Below are 13,116 nucleotides of genomic sequence, written 5' to 3'. Positions count from 1 at the left end.
ACCCCCTGATGTTTCCCGTGTCCATCTCCAGCCCCTCCCTCCTTCCTGAGCTGCTGAATGCCATCTCCACAGGACATCCCAAATGCCCTCGCACGCCAAGCATGGGAATCCAACCCCACTGTTCCCATCCCCTGCCCCAAACACTGGAGAGAAATGAAAATACCTCGATACAGTCTTGCGCAAATATGTTCACAGCAGCTATATTCATAATCACCAAAACCAAAACAGACTAAATATCCATGAACAGAAAAAAAAATGGGTAAACAAACTGTGATGTACCCATTCAGTGGTGTCCTACTCAGCAATAAAGAGGAACAGATGCTGACACACACGACGTGGATGAATCTCAGAACACGCAACGCTGAGTAAAAAAAGACACAGGAATACATACTGGGTGATGCCAATCACATGAAGTTCAAGGACATGGAAAGTAACTTATGGTCGCAGAAACCAGGAAGCGGTGGCTCTCAGGGCTGAGGACTGACTGGGCAGGGCCCCAGGATCTTTCTGGAGTGATGGAAAGTTTCTCTGTCTTTGGGGAGCCGGTGACTCAGGGGTGCCCATTTGGCGGAGCTCATGGAACCGCACATGTGAGATCTGCGTCTTTCATGGTAGGTAAATTTGCCTCAACTGAAAAGCTAATGCTAGTTTCAAATTTCAAGGAAAAACAAGCAAATAAACAACCTGCAATTTTAAAAAACACATGTTAAAAATTTTGAGGAAAACAAATAAAGACATGACATCCCTTTGGCGCAGAGGTCCCCAGCCTTCACCCACTCAATGCACCTGTCACGTCCGGGAGACCCTGGGCTACTGCTGCCCCCTCTTCAGGAAAAAACAAAGCCCTCGAGGAATATTGTTTCCTGCAAACTTATGGCTAAGAGGTGCCCGGCCTGCTGGTTGCTTGACTCAGCACCGGATGAGAGAAGAGACCTCAGAATCAGGCGGGCTTTAAATTCCATCCCTGCCTCGAGTAGCCGAGTAGCCTTGAGACGGCCCTAGTGAGGTTTCCACACCCGGATACACCATGGAACCATCAAGTCAGCATGATCAGCACACCCATCCGCACAAATATCGATCTTTTGTGTGAAAACATTTAAAATCCTCTCTTAGCTCTTTGAAAATACTCAGTGCATGATTCTGTGATTTGAGACAACACGGATGAACCTAGGGGACGTTATGTTGTTTGAAATGAGCCGGGCACAGAGAGGCAAATGTTGTATGACCTCACCTACATGTGGAATCTCAAATAGTCAACCTCAGAAACATAGAGAGGAGAGTGGTGGGTAGCAGAAGCTGGGGGCAGGGACGGGGCCGAGGTGGCCTGGGAAAGGGGAGATGTTGGTCCAAGTTTCGATTCCGCAGGAGGAGGGAGCCCTGGTGACCTACCGCACAGCATAGGGCTCTAGAGGGCTGTTAATTTTAGAAGAATCAGCTTCTGACTTCTCCTTTGCCTGGAGGGACCGTGATCCCCCAATCAGGCCCGAGTCTCTGCAGTTTCTCGCTTGTGGATCTTGATCTCCAAGTATTCACTGTCCATGGCCTCCTGTCCCTGCGCGTTCTGAGGCCTGACCTTATGGAAGCTGAGGGTTGCATGCTGGAGCTCTCCTTCTCCTAAGGAGGAGGCAGCCATGGCTGGGGGGAGGATGCTTCGGGGGGCTGCCGTCTGTCCAGGATTCAGTCAGGGGTCCCTGAACAGAGAGAGCGAGAAGGGAGTCAGAACAGAGCAGTGGGGCCAGGTTGAGGCGGGGAGAGTCTAGGAAGGAGGCCCAGGAGATCCGTCCTCCATTCATCCCACCTGCATTTTTGTCGGTCTCTTTCATGCTTTCCTCCAATATTTAACACTTACTGAGCACCTCATTTGGTGTTTACTAATCTCATTAGCTCCTCCAAGTGTGTAGGAGACTACACACTCAAATACCTCTGAGTCCCTGCTTCATCTCTTGACAGAGATGGCTTAATTATAATACATTTAAATATTAAGTCTCCACCCCAAAATAAACATGAGTTGCATATAACTTAGGTATTTATCCATCACACGTATGCATGACACCCTTTCATAAATACCCAAAACTCTGCCTATAATGTGTTAAATATGTATATTTAGCCAACCCATCCAACATAGAACTCCTGCTCCAAGCCCTCCTCCCTCAAAATACCTGACTTTCAACTTTTACCAGAGGTTACACTTCCCTGCCTGCCTAGATGGCCACTTACAGACTATAGCCCTTTTATTTTTATTTTTATTTTTTTGAGATAGAATCTTGCTCTGTCACCCAGGCTGGAGTGCCGTGGCGTGATCTCGGCTCACTGCAGCCTCCGCCTCCCGGGTTCAAGCGATTCTCGTGCCTCAGCCTCTTGAGTAGCTGGGATTACGGGTGTGTGCCACCACGCCTGGCTAATTTTTACATTTTTAGTAGAGATGGGGTTTTGCCATGTTAACCAGGCTCGTCTCCAACTCCTGGCCTCCAGTGATCTGCCCACTTTGGCCTCCCAAAGTGCTGAGATTACAGGTGTGAGCCACTGCGCCCAGCCTCATGTAATATTTTAAAATCAAAATTAGTGCCAAAAAACTCCATGGAGAACAAACATTTAAAGAAATCCAGGATTTTTAATGTGCTTTGCTGAGCCAATTGCAGCCTGAGGCACGAGAAAAATGTCTGTCCCTCTTTATTTATATATATATATACATATATATATATATTTTTTCTTTTTTTTCTTTTTTTTCTTTTTTTTTTTTGAGACAGAGTCTCGCTGTTTCGCCCAGGCTGGAGTGCAGTGGCACTATCTTGGCTCACTGCAAGCTCTGCCTCCCGGGTTCACGCCATTCTCCTGCCTCAGCTTCCCGAGTAGCTGGGACTACAGACGCCCGCCACCACGCCTGGCTAATTTTTTGTATTTTTAGTAGAGACGGGGTTTCACAGTGTTAGCAAGGATGGTCTTGATCTTCTGACCTCGTGATCCACCCGTCTCGGCCTCCCAAAGTGCTGGGATTACAGGCATGAGCCACCGTGCCTGGCCTATATGTTTTCATGTATGTTTAATGGTCACTTTTATCCGGAACATTAAATAATTGAGCTACTACTGACAAATTGAAAAATGGTGTATAATAAAACATCATTTTAAGTTTAAAGATTTTACGTATACCTAGAGCAGAATTTATTATAATCTGCTTTCCTGGCTCTACTGGAAGCAAGGCAGAAATAATATTTTCAAATTCGACTTTGATTCTCTCATTTTCAACTGAGAACACTGCCCTACTTGATAATTTCTCTTGACTAAGTGATGATCTTAAATAATTCTTAATTCACTTCAGTTTATTTTTTTATTTTATTTTTATTTTTTGAGATGGAGTTTCATTCTTGTTGCTCAGGCTGGAGTGCAGTGGTGTGATCTCGGCTCACTGCAACCTCCGCCTCCCAGGTTCAAGCAATTCTCCTGCCTCAACCTCCCGAGTAGCTGGGGTTACAGACACCCGCCACTACGTCCGGCTAATTTTTGTATTTTTTAGTAGAGGTGGGGTTTCACCATTTTTTCCAGGTTGGTCTGGAACTCCTAACCTCAGGTGATCCGCCCACTTCGGCCTCCCAAAGTGCTGGGATTACAGGCATGAGCCACCACGCCCGGCCACTTCAGTTTATTGAACCTGTCATTATTTAAAATCTTGATATTGGCTTATCATTGGTTTTTTTAAATTTAATTTTGATGTTTTAAAAAACAATGCATGAAACTTAGTTTTTCTCAATTACTGAGATTTTTGGCATCCCCTTAAATGTTGCATTCAAAGCAAGTGCCTCACTCTTCTTACCCTAACTCTGGCCCTCCTGGAGAGGTAGGTGCCTAACAGGCCAGAACGTGCAGGGCTCCAGGCTGAGGAGTTTGGGCTTTGTCAGGGGTTGGCAAACTACAGCCCTTGGATTAAATCTGGCCCATTGCTTGTTTTTGTTAATAAAGTTTTATTGGAACACAGTCCAACTCACCATTAACACATGGTCTACGGCTCATTTCATTCTACAGCAGCAGAGTTGAGTAGCTGCAACAGCAACTGTATAGTCCACAAAGCTAAAAATACTTACCATCTGGTATTTCAGAAAATGTTTGCTGGCCTCTGATCTAGACAATGGGGGTGGAGGACAGCTGTCCAAATGCAGAAGAACTGGGCAGTGATGCCTTCCAGATGGTCCCTCCAGATAGGGAAGGGGAGGTGAGAAGTAGGGAGGTGACAAGGCCCAAGGAAAAGATCCTGAGGCCTCAGCAATGAGAGGGTCAGGTTGGGCGGGGGTGATGCTAGCTGTTCTTTGTGGGGCAAATTGACAAGATAACGGTGAATTTTCAGCTGTAGAGGAAGACAGGGAGGACAGAGAGGATGTAATCCTCCTCCATGCTTGGTCTGGGAGGAGGGGCTGCCATGCTGTCAGCAAGATGGGGGAATCCTGCAGGAGAAGCCAGCTTGTAGGTAGGAGGAGGAGGTGAGGAGGCAACTTTGGCCAGGACTAGCTGAGCAATCCTGGGGGCCATCCTGTGGGAGGTGTCCAGGCTGAATGCTGGGTATGGAGATGCCCACATCGCTCACCTGATAGGCTGAGCCCCTGACAGCGTTTGCATCCTCCATGCCCATATCCCTGATGCCCGCTGCTGGCCTTGCTGATTTCTTCCTGCAGGACCTCACTCTGAGTGAAGAGACCAGAGTCTTTCAGTCTGTACCGATCAAGGTGTAGTGGGTGGACCGACCCCCCGCCCCACCATGTTTCCTATTAAAGGGCTGGAGGGATGACTGAGGTGAGAGAGGGGTGAACCAGTCCCAGGGACCCCGGTGTTGAGAACACAGGTTCCTGCCTTCTGGCTAGTGGGGCCTGAGGTTTGCCATAGACTTGGAGCCTCACGAACAAAGATGCTTGTGAAATTCCCACCGTGCACCTGTGACCTCCTTCTTGCCCTTGCTTTAAGCTCTTGACCATGCAGGTCCCTCCAGCTCTGGCTTCAGGGATTCTGTTCCTGGCCTGCCCTCCCTCAGGGGTCTCCCTCCCTCCCCAGGGTCAATGCTCACACGATGAAGATGACGCAGAAGGACAGGAAGACCAGGGCTGTGGCTCCAGCTCCCCCGACCACCCCCAGCATCACTCCTGATACAGGCCATGTGGTGCCTGCAGATGGATTGGAGTTATCTCTGGGATTTACCTTCAATAACTGGGTCTCCTCACCTTCTGCTGCCTGTAAGGCCCTCGACTTTGATTCTCCTCCCAGCTTTCCCAGACACAAAGAGCGGGCATCAGAAGGAGGAGGATTACGGACTTCTGGTGAGGCCAGTGAGGCATGACAGTGCTGGGTGCAGTTTTTTTTTTAATTTAAAATTTTGATTTGTATTCGCCATGGAATTATTTTGCATTAATTTTTATTTTTTAAAAATGATTATCGTGTCACAGTATTATTTCTCTTGCTTTAGTTTTGGTTCTTAAATTTGGTACCAAGGCAAGTGCTTCACGTGCCTCTTCCTAGTCTAAGCACTGCAAAGCAAGGCACTTGTCTCCCCAGATACACCTGGCCGGGCCCCAGCTCCTCCCCTCCAAGACCCACTCCTCCCCTCTCCCCACCCCGCGCCCATTTCCTGGCGGGGAGAGGACAGTGATGCTCTGGGTTGTGGGGAAGTTCTAGGCCTCACAGCTGAGCACACACCAGAGCTGAGCTCCCCCTTGAAGCTCACGGGCAGTGGGTGGCCCATGAGGGTGGCGCAGGTGTGTTCTCCTCCTCCAGCCCCTCCCCTACCCACCTGTGCCCTCATTCTGCAGGGAGAGGCTCAGGGAAATGTGCTGGGAGCCCCGAGGGTTCTGAGCTCGGCAGGTGAATTCCCCTTCATCCCTCGCGTGCACTCGAGGCAGCTTCAGCAGCCCATGGTTCGAGGACTGTGAGGGGCTCAGGGTCAGGCTCCCTTGGGTCCAGCTCAGCCTGGCAGGGGGATTGCTGTCGACAGCACAGACCAGGCGCAGAGACTGGCCCTCCAGGACTGAGAGGGATGAGCTGTTCCCCAAGGCTGTGGATGCTGTAGAGAAAGAGGTGTGTTCAGGAGGTTGATGATCAGGACCCTCGAGGCTGGCCCTGCTGTATCAATGTCCCCCTGCCCTTGCTGTGGGGCCAAGGAGGGTGCGTGTGGAGGATTCTAAGGGGAGTGAGGGCGGGATGGGAACAGGGGCTCAGGTGGCCACAGGGGCTGAGGATGGGCAGGGGCACTGGATTCACCCACAAGGGGGTCTCAGGTCACCAGGGTGAGTCCAGGATGCGGAGGACCTGGCCCTGCCCTGAGCTGCAGACCTTGCTCCCCCAGCCCCAGGGAGGGGGCTCTGTCCTACCTGTGCCGTCTGCTTGGAAGATAGCCACAGTCAAGTTCTGAGGAGGGTCTGGGACAGAAAGACACGCAGACCCACATCACTGTGAGGGCTGGGGACACTGGCCCTGTCTCCCCAGGAGCCGCGTAAATGGGGAAAGTAGAGCCAGCCACTCCAAGCCCAGATTCTGGGAGCCAGCACCCTTGACCCCAATCCTGCTGCTCTCAGCAACACCCCACCCCACCAGGGACCCAGGCATCCCGGCCCAGCACTCACAGGACGCATTGAATTGGACAGTCCTGGTCAAGGTCACACCAGCCTCAGGCAGGGTCACCTGACAGGTGAGGTTGGTGCCATGGTCCTGGGGCTTTGGGATGAGGGTGAGCACTGAGGAGCGGGCTGTGGTGCGGCCCGGGAAGGACACGGAGGTCCCCATCCAGGAGATGGTAGGGGTATCCCCTGCTCACAGGCCCAGGACACAGAGCAGGTCAGGTTTCCCGGGCGGCCGGACTCCATGGTCCCCAGGGAGGAGATATTGGGCCTGTGGGTCAGGGCTGGTGAGGAGAGGGTTGGGTGCAGGATCGGGAGGGGAGGTCTGAGGTGCAGCCCTGGGGAAGCTCAGGCTCTGGTCCAGTGCCTCCCATGAGCCCGACACGCTTCACCCCCAACCCCCTCCCAGGACAGGGGTCCCAACCCACCCCTGAGCTGCAGCCCCAGGACCTTTTCTTGTGCTGCTTCTGGAGCCTGCGCCTTACCCGTCACCAACACGTGGAGCTGGTTAGACGCGTAATTCCATCTCATGCTTCCTCTCTCCATGCGAAAGAAAATGACCCCTGGTCCTTCCTCCTGGCGTCTCCGATGCTCAGGGAGCAGTCGTTCATCTGCAGGTTTCCAGAGAGACGGAATCGGCCCTGGGTCTCCTTCTTCACTTTTCGTTTTGGGTTGTTCGTAGCCATTGGAGCATCCTGGGCTGTGTCAGCCCCTTCCTGGAACCAGTAGCCATGAACTTGGGGAGAGTTAGTCAAGGCAACCTGGGGGTGGGAGAAGGAGGAGGGCACGTGGACACACAGGCCCTCCTGCACCCTCACCTCCCTCTGCACTTGCAGTGTGTAACCATTCTCTTGCTGTCCCTGTCCCTCCACCCCCTCCCTCCCCCAGAGCAGGGGCAGCAGCAGCAGCATGTCTGGGGTTGTAGGTGCCAGGGCTGCCAGGGAACGTCTGTTCCTCAGGGTTCTTCTCTCAGGAACTGAGGGCTCAAGACTTAGAGGAGGCCCCACAGGAAGACAGGGGCGAGGTCGGAACAGTGACCTCCTCAGAGGAGGAACTTCACAACCCAGACACTGTCAGGGTCCGCCCTTGGAGATCAATCATCTACAATCCCACATCCACTCCTGGGTCCCTGAACTCAGACAGGGTGAGAGACTCACCCAGATTCCCTCCCCATGCCGAGACTGATCTCCACATCCTGCCTCTCTGTCTCACCCTTGCCTCTGCAGGGTGAAACTGGGTCCATCTGGCCAGACCCCCGAGTCTCCTCTGTGGCTATCACTGTTTGTGGAGGTCAGACCTGCCAAAGGTGAGACTCAGGGCCATGAGAGACAGGGGTGCAAGCGGTGTGAGCAGGCAGCCTCTCCTCCCTCCCTCAGCAGCTGCAAGGTGGGCACCCCCTTTCTGCACGACGAGATCAACAAGGCAGAGCTGGACGCTGTCCCCAAGGAGTCACTGTGCAGTGGGGAGACAATGAGGCTCCTGACATCTGAGCTTCCCATGACAGGAGCTTCAGTGCAGGGCTCAGGCAGGTGGGGTCGCTCTCCCCTAGGTTGAGGGTTCAGTCTCAGGAGGACTGAGCAGAGGGATGCGGGGCTGTGGAAGATTTTGTGTGTTGATACGTGCCAAGGACACTGAGGGGAGCCCAGCCTGCAGGAGGCCGGGGAAACTGAGGCTGTTGTTCAGTGAGGCTTGGAAAGGAGGGTCAGGACAGAAGGCGTCAATTTGAAAAGGGCAGACACTTCTCCCTTCGTTGTGGTTACCTGGACATCAGGAGGGGTTTCTTCACCGCTGGCATCTCATTCAGCCACACTTCCCCTGGTTAGTCCACAGCAGGCGGCGTCTGCTGGACCCAGGGCTTTGCTCCTGCAAGTGCTGCTCCCAGGAGTCCAGGTGAACAGGAGCCATGGAGCGAGGACCCCAGGCCTGGGGCGTACACCCTCAGTGCTGGGCAGGATTATTTTGGAGAAGAAACGTGCACCTGAATTAAACAGAAGACTATTTTTAACTGTGTGGCTGCAGGCTGAGAGGGAGTGGTGGGGGACCCTGGGAGGTGGAGCCTCCTTAGACCCATGTAAGTTTTCTTGAAACATTTTTTTGGGGGAAACAGAAGACATATAGATAAAAGTGACCCCAAGAGATCATCTCAGGCAGGGTGCGGTGTCTCACACCTGTAATCCCAGCACTTTGGGAGGCCGAGGCGGGCGGATCACCTGAAGTCAGGAGTTCGAGACCAGCCTGGCCAACATGGGGAAACCCCGTCTCTACTAAAAATACCAAAATTAGCCGGACATGGTGGCGCATGCCTGTGATCCCAGCTACGCGGGAGGCTGAGGCAGGAGAATCGCTTGAACAGACAGAGGCTACAGAGCTGAGATCGCGCCACTGTGCTCCAGCCTGGGCGACAGAGCAAGGCACTGTCTCAAAAAAAAAAAAAAAAAAAAAAAAAAAAAAAAAAAAAAAGGAGCGATTAGTGATTAGGACAGAGACATGCTCAGAAGAAAGGCCACGTGGGACACAGGGAGAAGATGCCACCCGCAAGCCACCGAGAGGCCTCAGAAGGAAGCAACGCTGACCACAGCTTGGTCTCAGACTTCCAGCCTCCAGAAGGGTGGGAAAACAAAGGCGTTGTTGAAGCCACTCGGTCTGTGTTCCTTTCTCAAGGCGGCCCTGGCAAGAGAGTCCATGGAGTGGTCGAGAGGATTCGATGTGTTCCTGTGAGCACAGCCCGGTGTGGACCGCGGTGGATGCAGAGCCCCACAGGGGTCTGGGACAGCCTGTAACATGGGATGCTCAGAGGATGGAAGGAGAAAAGGGAAGGGAAGGGCTCCTCACCAGAGGAAACCTGTGCTGCTGCCGCCCTGTCTCTGACATCTGCAGGGCTGCCCCCTCCACCCACACTCTCCCTCCCTCCCCAGGACCGGGCAGGGCTCTCAGCCGCAGCCCCTCGCTGCCCCTGCACCCTGGGCAGTTGCCTCCCATCTATGGGGCGGAGCCGCCTGGGCGTCTGGGCTGGGCGAGGCGGAGCCTGGAGGGGCACCGGCCACGGGCAGGGGAGACAGAGGCGGGCACAGCCTGGCGGGGTCCGGGCTGAGCCAGCGGGGAGGACGGGGCTGTGGGAGCCCAGCGGAGAGGGTGAGGATCCGCGGGCAGGTGGGACAGGTGAGCTGGGAGGTGAGAGATGGGCAGGGCTGCCTGAAAGGCAAGTTCATCCCAGAGCAGCGAGCAGGGCGCAGCCAAAGGCCGTGGGGGAAACAGCGGCGAGAAAAAAACGGCCAAAATTCTGCCCGCAGTGCGCCTGTATCCTAGCGGGGCGGCCACAAAAATATTGTTGAGTAGCAAGAAGTGTTTCGAAAGTGTGCAGTGGGTAAAGTGTGAGAAAATAAAGCAGATTTAATCAAGAGGAACGGAGTCCTCAGGGCTGGCTGGAGAGGAGCGTGGTTTCAAGAACGCGGTCAGGAAAGGACTCGCTGAGAAGAAATTTGGCGCCCAAACGTTCCTGGCACCGCCCGCGGCTGCTGATTGGCTCAAGCCCGTAGGATTCCTCTGGGCCTGAAGGTGCGGGGAGGGACTTGCACTTTCAGCTCCTGATTGGCTGTGCGTCAGCTCCCAGAGGCAAGTGTCCGTGGGGGAAAGCTCCATCTGCCTCGCAGATCTGCTGCGTAATAGGCACCTGAAGCTGCTGATTGGCTACTAAAGAGGCCTGTGCAGCCACTGATTGGCTGTGGGGTAGACGCACAACGTGCGAGGCGCGCGGGCTGGGCCCAGGGCGACAGCGGAGCCTTCACACCGCTTTCTCCGCGCGCTGATGGAGGATTCCTGGCCTCACAGCAGTGCCTGGCCTGTGGGCGTCCCCGGCAGTCCTCGGCTGCGGGACCTGTATCGGGACTGCGCAAAGTGGGCTTCCAGGAGAGCAGGGCGTCCCTCAGTCAGCTGACCCCTTGGAGCGTGGGGCAGCCCAGGCCCGTGAGGCCGCCAGTGTCACCCTCAGGCCCGCGAGGCCCCCGAGCCCCTTGTGGGGTCCAAGGCCCATTCTGGATCAGTCACGAGGCAAGACCGCGGACCCTCAGGAGATCACCAGGAGCCCGCCGCGCATTCCTCCGCCTCCACCACGCCAGTCACCTGCTCAGCCCGAGGGCAGCCAGCGGCCGTCGCCCCAGTGAGGCGGCCGGTGAGGAGCTGAGGCCGTGACCAGGGCAGCGCCCCGCGAGTCAGCGTCAGTCCCCGCGCCAGCCAGTTCCTCAGACAATCAGGTAACGCGCCCCCACGGCCTGCCCTGGCCAGCAGTTAGCTGGGCTCCTGCCAGTCAGCCTCTTAGGAGGTCGTCCCCTGTAAGGCACTCAGTCGCTAGTCACACGGTTACCGCCTGTGTAGACCAGGTAATCGGGTTCACGCTGTGAGTCACTGGGCTCCCTGGCAACCCAGCCTTTATGTCAATCATCCATAAGCCAGTCAGTGATTGACTGCAGCCCCCCACCCCCACCCACACCCCCACCCACCCGTTGACCCCTTTGGCCTCAAACACGTTCCTCATCCTCTCTGCTCCAGGGTCCGAGGAAATCCAGGTTTGCACATCTTCACTGAACCTCCAACTCCATCTCCTCGTATACTATGTACATATATATGTATACACACACATATACTATGTACATATATATGTATACACACACATATACTATGTACATATATATGTATACACACACATATACTATGTACATATATATGTATACACACACATATACTATGTACATATATATGTATACACACACATATACTATGTACATATATATGTATACACACACATATACTATGTACATATATATGTATACACACACATATACTATGTACATATATATGTATACACACACATATACTATGTACATATATATGTATACATATATGTATACATATATATGATACTGCATGTAACACCTTGGACTCATCTTAAGAATTTCTGCTATTCCCATTTGGGTGATGGGAAGCCACTGAAGGGAGCAGAAAAGTGGATTTTTAGAATTTACTCTGTCTTCCCTGTGGAGAACAGATTGGAGGTGGGCAGGGAGCAGGTGAGAGGATAAGTTTCCTCACTGCATACTGAGGTCCCACTATGGAAAGTGAGTCCCTGAAGGCAAAGACGTACAACTTTCAAAAGCACTGTGGACTTGCTTTGCGCGCAGTAGGTGATAAATATGTGTTGATTGGCAGGCTTACCAAATCTACAGAAAGGTAAACACACAAGTAGCACAATCTTGCATAAAGTACTTCTTTAATTTTGGTAAATAAAGCATTATAAAAATACATATGTCTTCCTTCTCCCTGCTTTGCTTACTCACAACTATAGGGAATAGTTTTGGAAGCCAGATATCAGAGTGAAGAGAAGTTCTTTGGTTTTTCTGTGTATGGCAGGGCCAAATCAGCAAAGAGCTTCTCTGATGTGTGAAGGTGGGTTAGGAGAGAAGAGAGAGGTTTGGGAGCTAATAATCATGGAGTCTCCATGTCTGGACCTTCCCTTCGGGCTCCCATGTCCAGGATCTTCCTCTGTCCTGAGGGAGAAAGGAACTCAAATTTTTCTCACCTTCCTTCTCTGGAGGTCTCCAACCCTGCCAGGAAAAAAACAGTAGTGATGTCAGATGCCTGAAAAGGCTGGCTCTGGGCTGGGCGCGGTGGCTCATGCCTGTAATCCCAGCACTTTGGGAGGCCGAAGTGGGTGGATCACAAGGTCAAGAGATTGAGACCATCCTGGCCAACATGGTGAAACCCCGTCTCTACCAAAAATAGAAAAATTAGCCAGGTATGGTGGCATGCACCTGTAGTTCCAGCTACTCTGGAGGCTGAGGTTGCAGTGAGCTGAGATCACACCACTGCACTGCAGCCTGGCGACAGACAGAGACTCCATCTCAAAAAAAAAAAAAAAAAAAAAGGCTAGCTCTGGGGAGGACCAGCTGGCGAGCCCTGTTGTAGGGTTTGGGGGACTTACATAAGGTTAGATAAGGGATTACCTTGGGGAGGGTGTGATCACCTGGTGTAATAGATCTTGGAAAGGCCACAGGTGTGGAGGAAGCCAGGCCCCTGCATGGGCACCCCTGAGCCCTCAGAAAGGCACACATAGGGGAATGTTAGAAGGGCATGAAGTTCTTCTCTGTAGGTCTCAGGGCCCTATCAACAGGGCCCAGACTTCCTGCCACTTCATGACTCTGGGGATCAGGACAGCCTGAGTTAGACAGAAACTGCAGGAAGTGTCTAGGGAGAAATCAGGGGTGAGAGCCTTGGAGTGTCTGAGATCACACACACAGAGAGAACAGAAGGCTCCAGACGCAAATGCCAGAAAACACAGAGGAAAATCTTTTCACAGAGTGAAAAAGTGAAAATCTGCTCAGATGGAGAAAGAGAAGTAGCAGCCTTGCACTTATTCAGGCCTAGTGGGAGGACAGCTGCAACATCACAAGGAAACTTTGTTTCCCAAGGTCTTGTAATAGCTGTAAAATATCCTAAGAATCTTGAGTGATTAACACTTTCCTACCAATGATAC

General features: G+C 52.7%; 2 long non-coding RNA genes and 1 pseudogene across 2 annotated transcripts in view, besides 1 other annotated feature; 2 read left to right on the top strand and 1 right to left on the bottom strand.

Moving 5' to 3' along the window:
• The window catches only part of LOC107985327 (uncharacterized), an 84,260-nt gene extending 78,854 nt beyond the window's left edge, over nt 1-5,406 (top strand). Inside the window, exon 4 of the long non-coding RNA XR_007067309.1 lies at nt 5,035-5,406. This is a non-coding gene — a long non-coding RNA (uncharacterized LOC107985327). The remainder of the gene's footprint in view (nt 1-5,034) is intronic.
• On the bottom strand, nt 7,107-7,568 carry SIGLEC20P (sialic acid binding Ig like lectin 20, pseudogene; annotated as a pseudogene).
• Nucleotides 10,126-11,097: an enhancer, noted in NCBI's record as "H3K27ac-H3K4me1 hESC enhancer chr19:51684473-51685444 (GRCh37/hg19 assembly coordinates)". NCBI's record gives its function as "activates a minimal SCP1, AML or CMV promoter by ChIP-STARR-seq in primed H9 embryonic stem cells {active_cell/tissue: H9 hESC(primed)}" and the evidence as "EXISTENCE:reporter gene assay evidence [ECO:0000049][PMID:30033119]".
• The window catches only part of LOC101928517 (uncharacterized), a 29,044-nt gene continuing 26,275 nt past the window's right edge, over nt 10,348-13,116 (top strand). The window contains exon 1 of the long non-coding RNA NR_110732.1: nt 10,348-10,840. This is a non-coding gene — a long non-coding RNA (uncharacterized LOC101928517). The remainder of the gene's footprint in view (nt 10,841-13,116) is intronic.

The sequence above is a fragment of the Homo sapiens genome, chromosome 19 (genome assembly GCF_000001405.40).
Source record: "Homo sapiens chromosome 19, GRCh38.p14 Primary Assembly".
Classification (NCBI taxonomy): Eukaryota; Metazoa; Chordata; class Mammalia; order Primates; family Hominidae; genus Homo; species Homo sapiens.
Note: the sequence above shows the minus strand (reverse complement) of the source record. Positions and strands in the feature narration are given on the sequence as shown.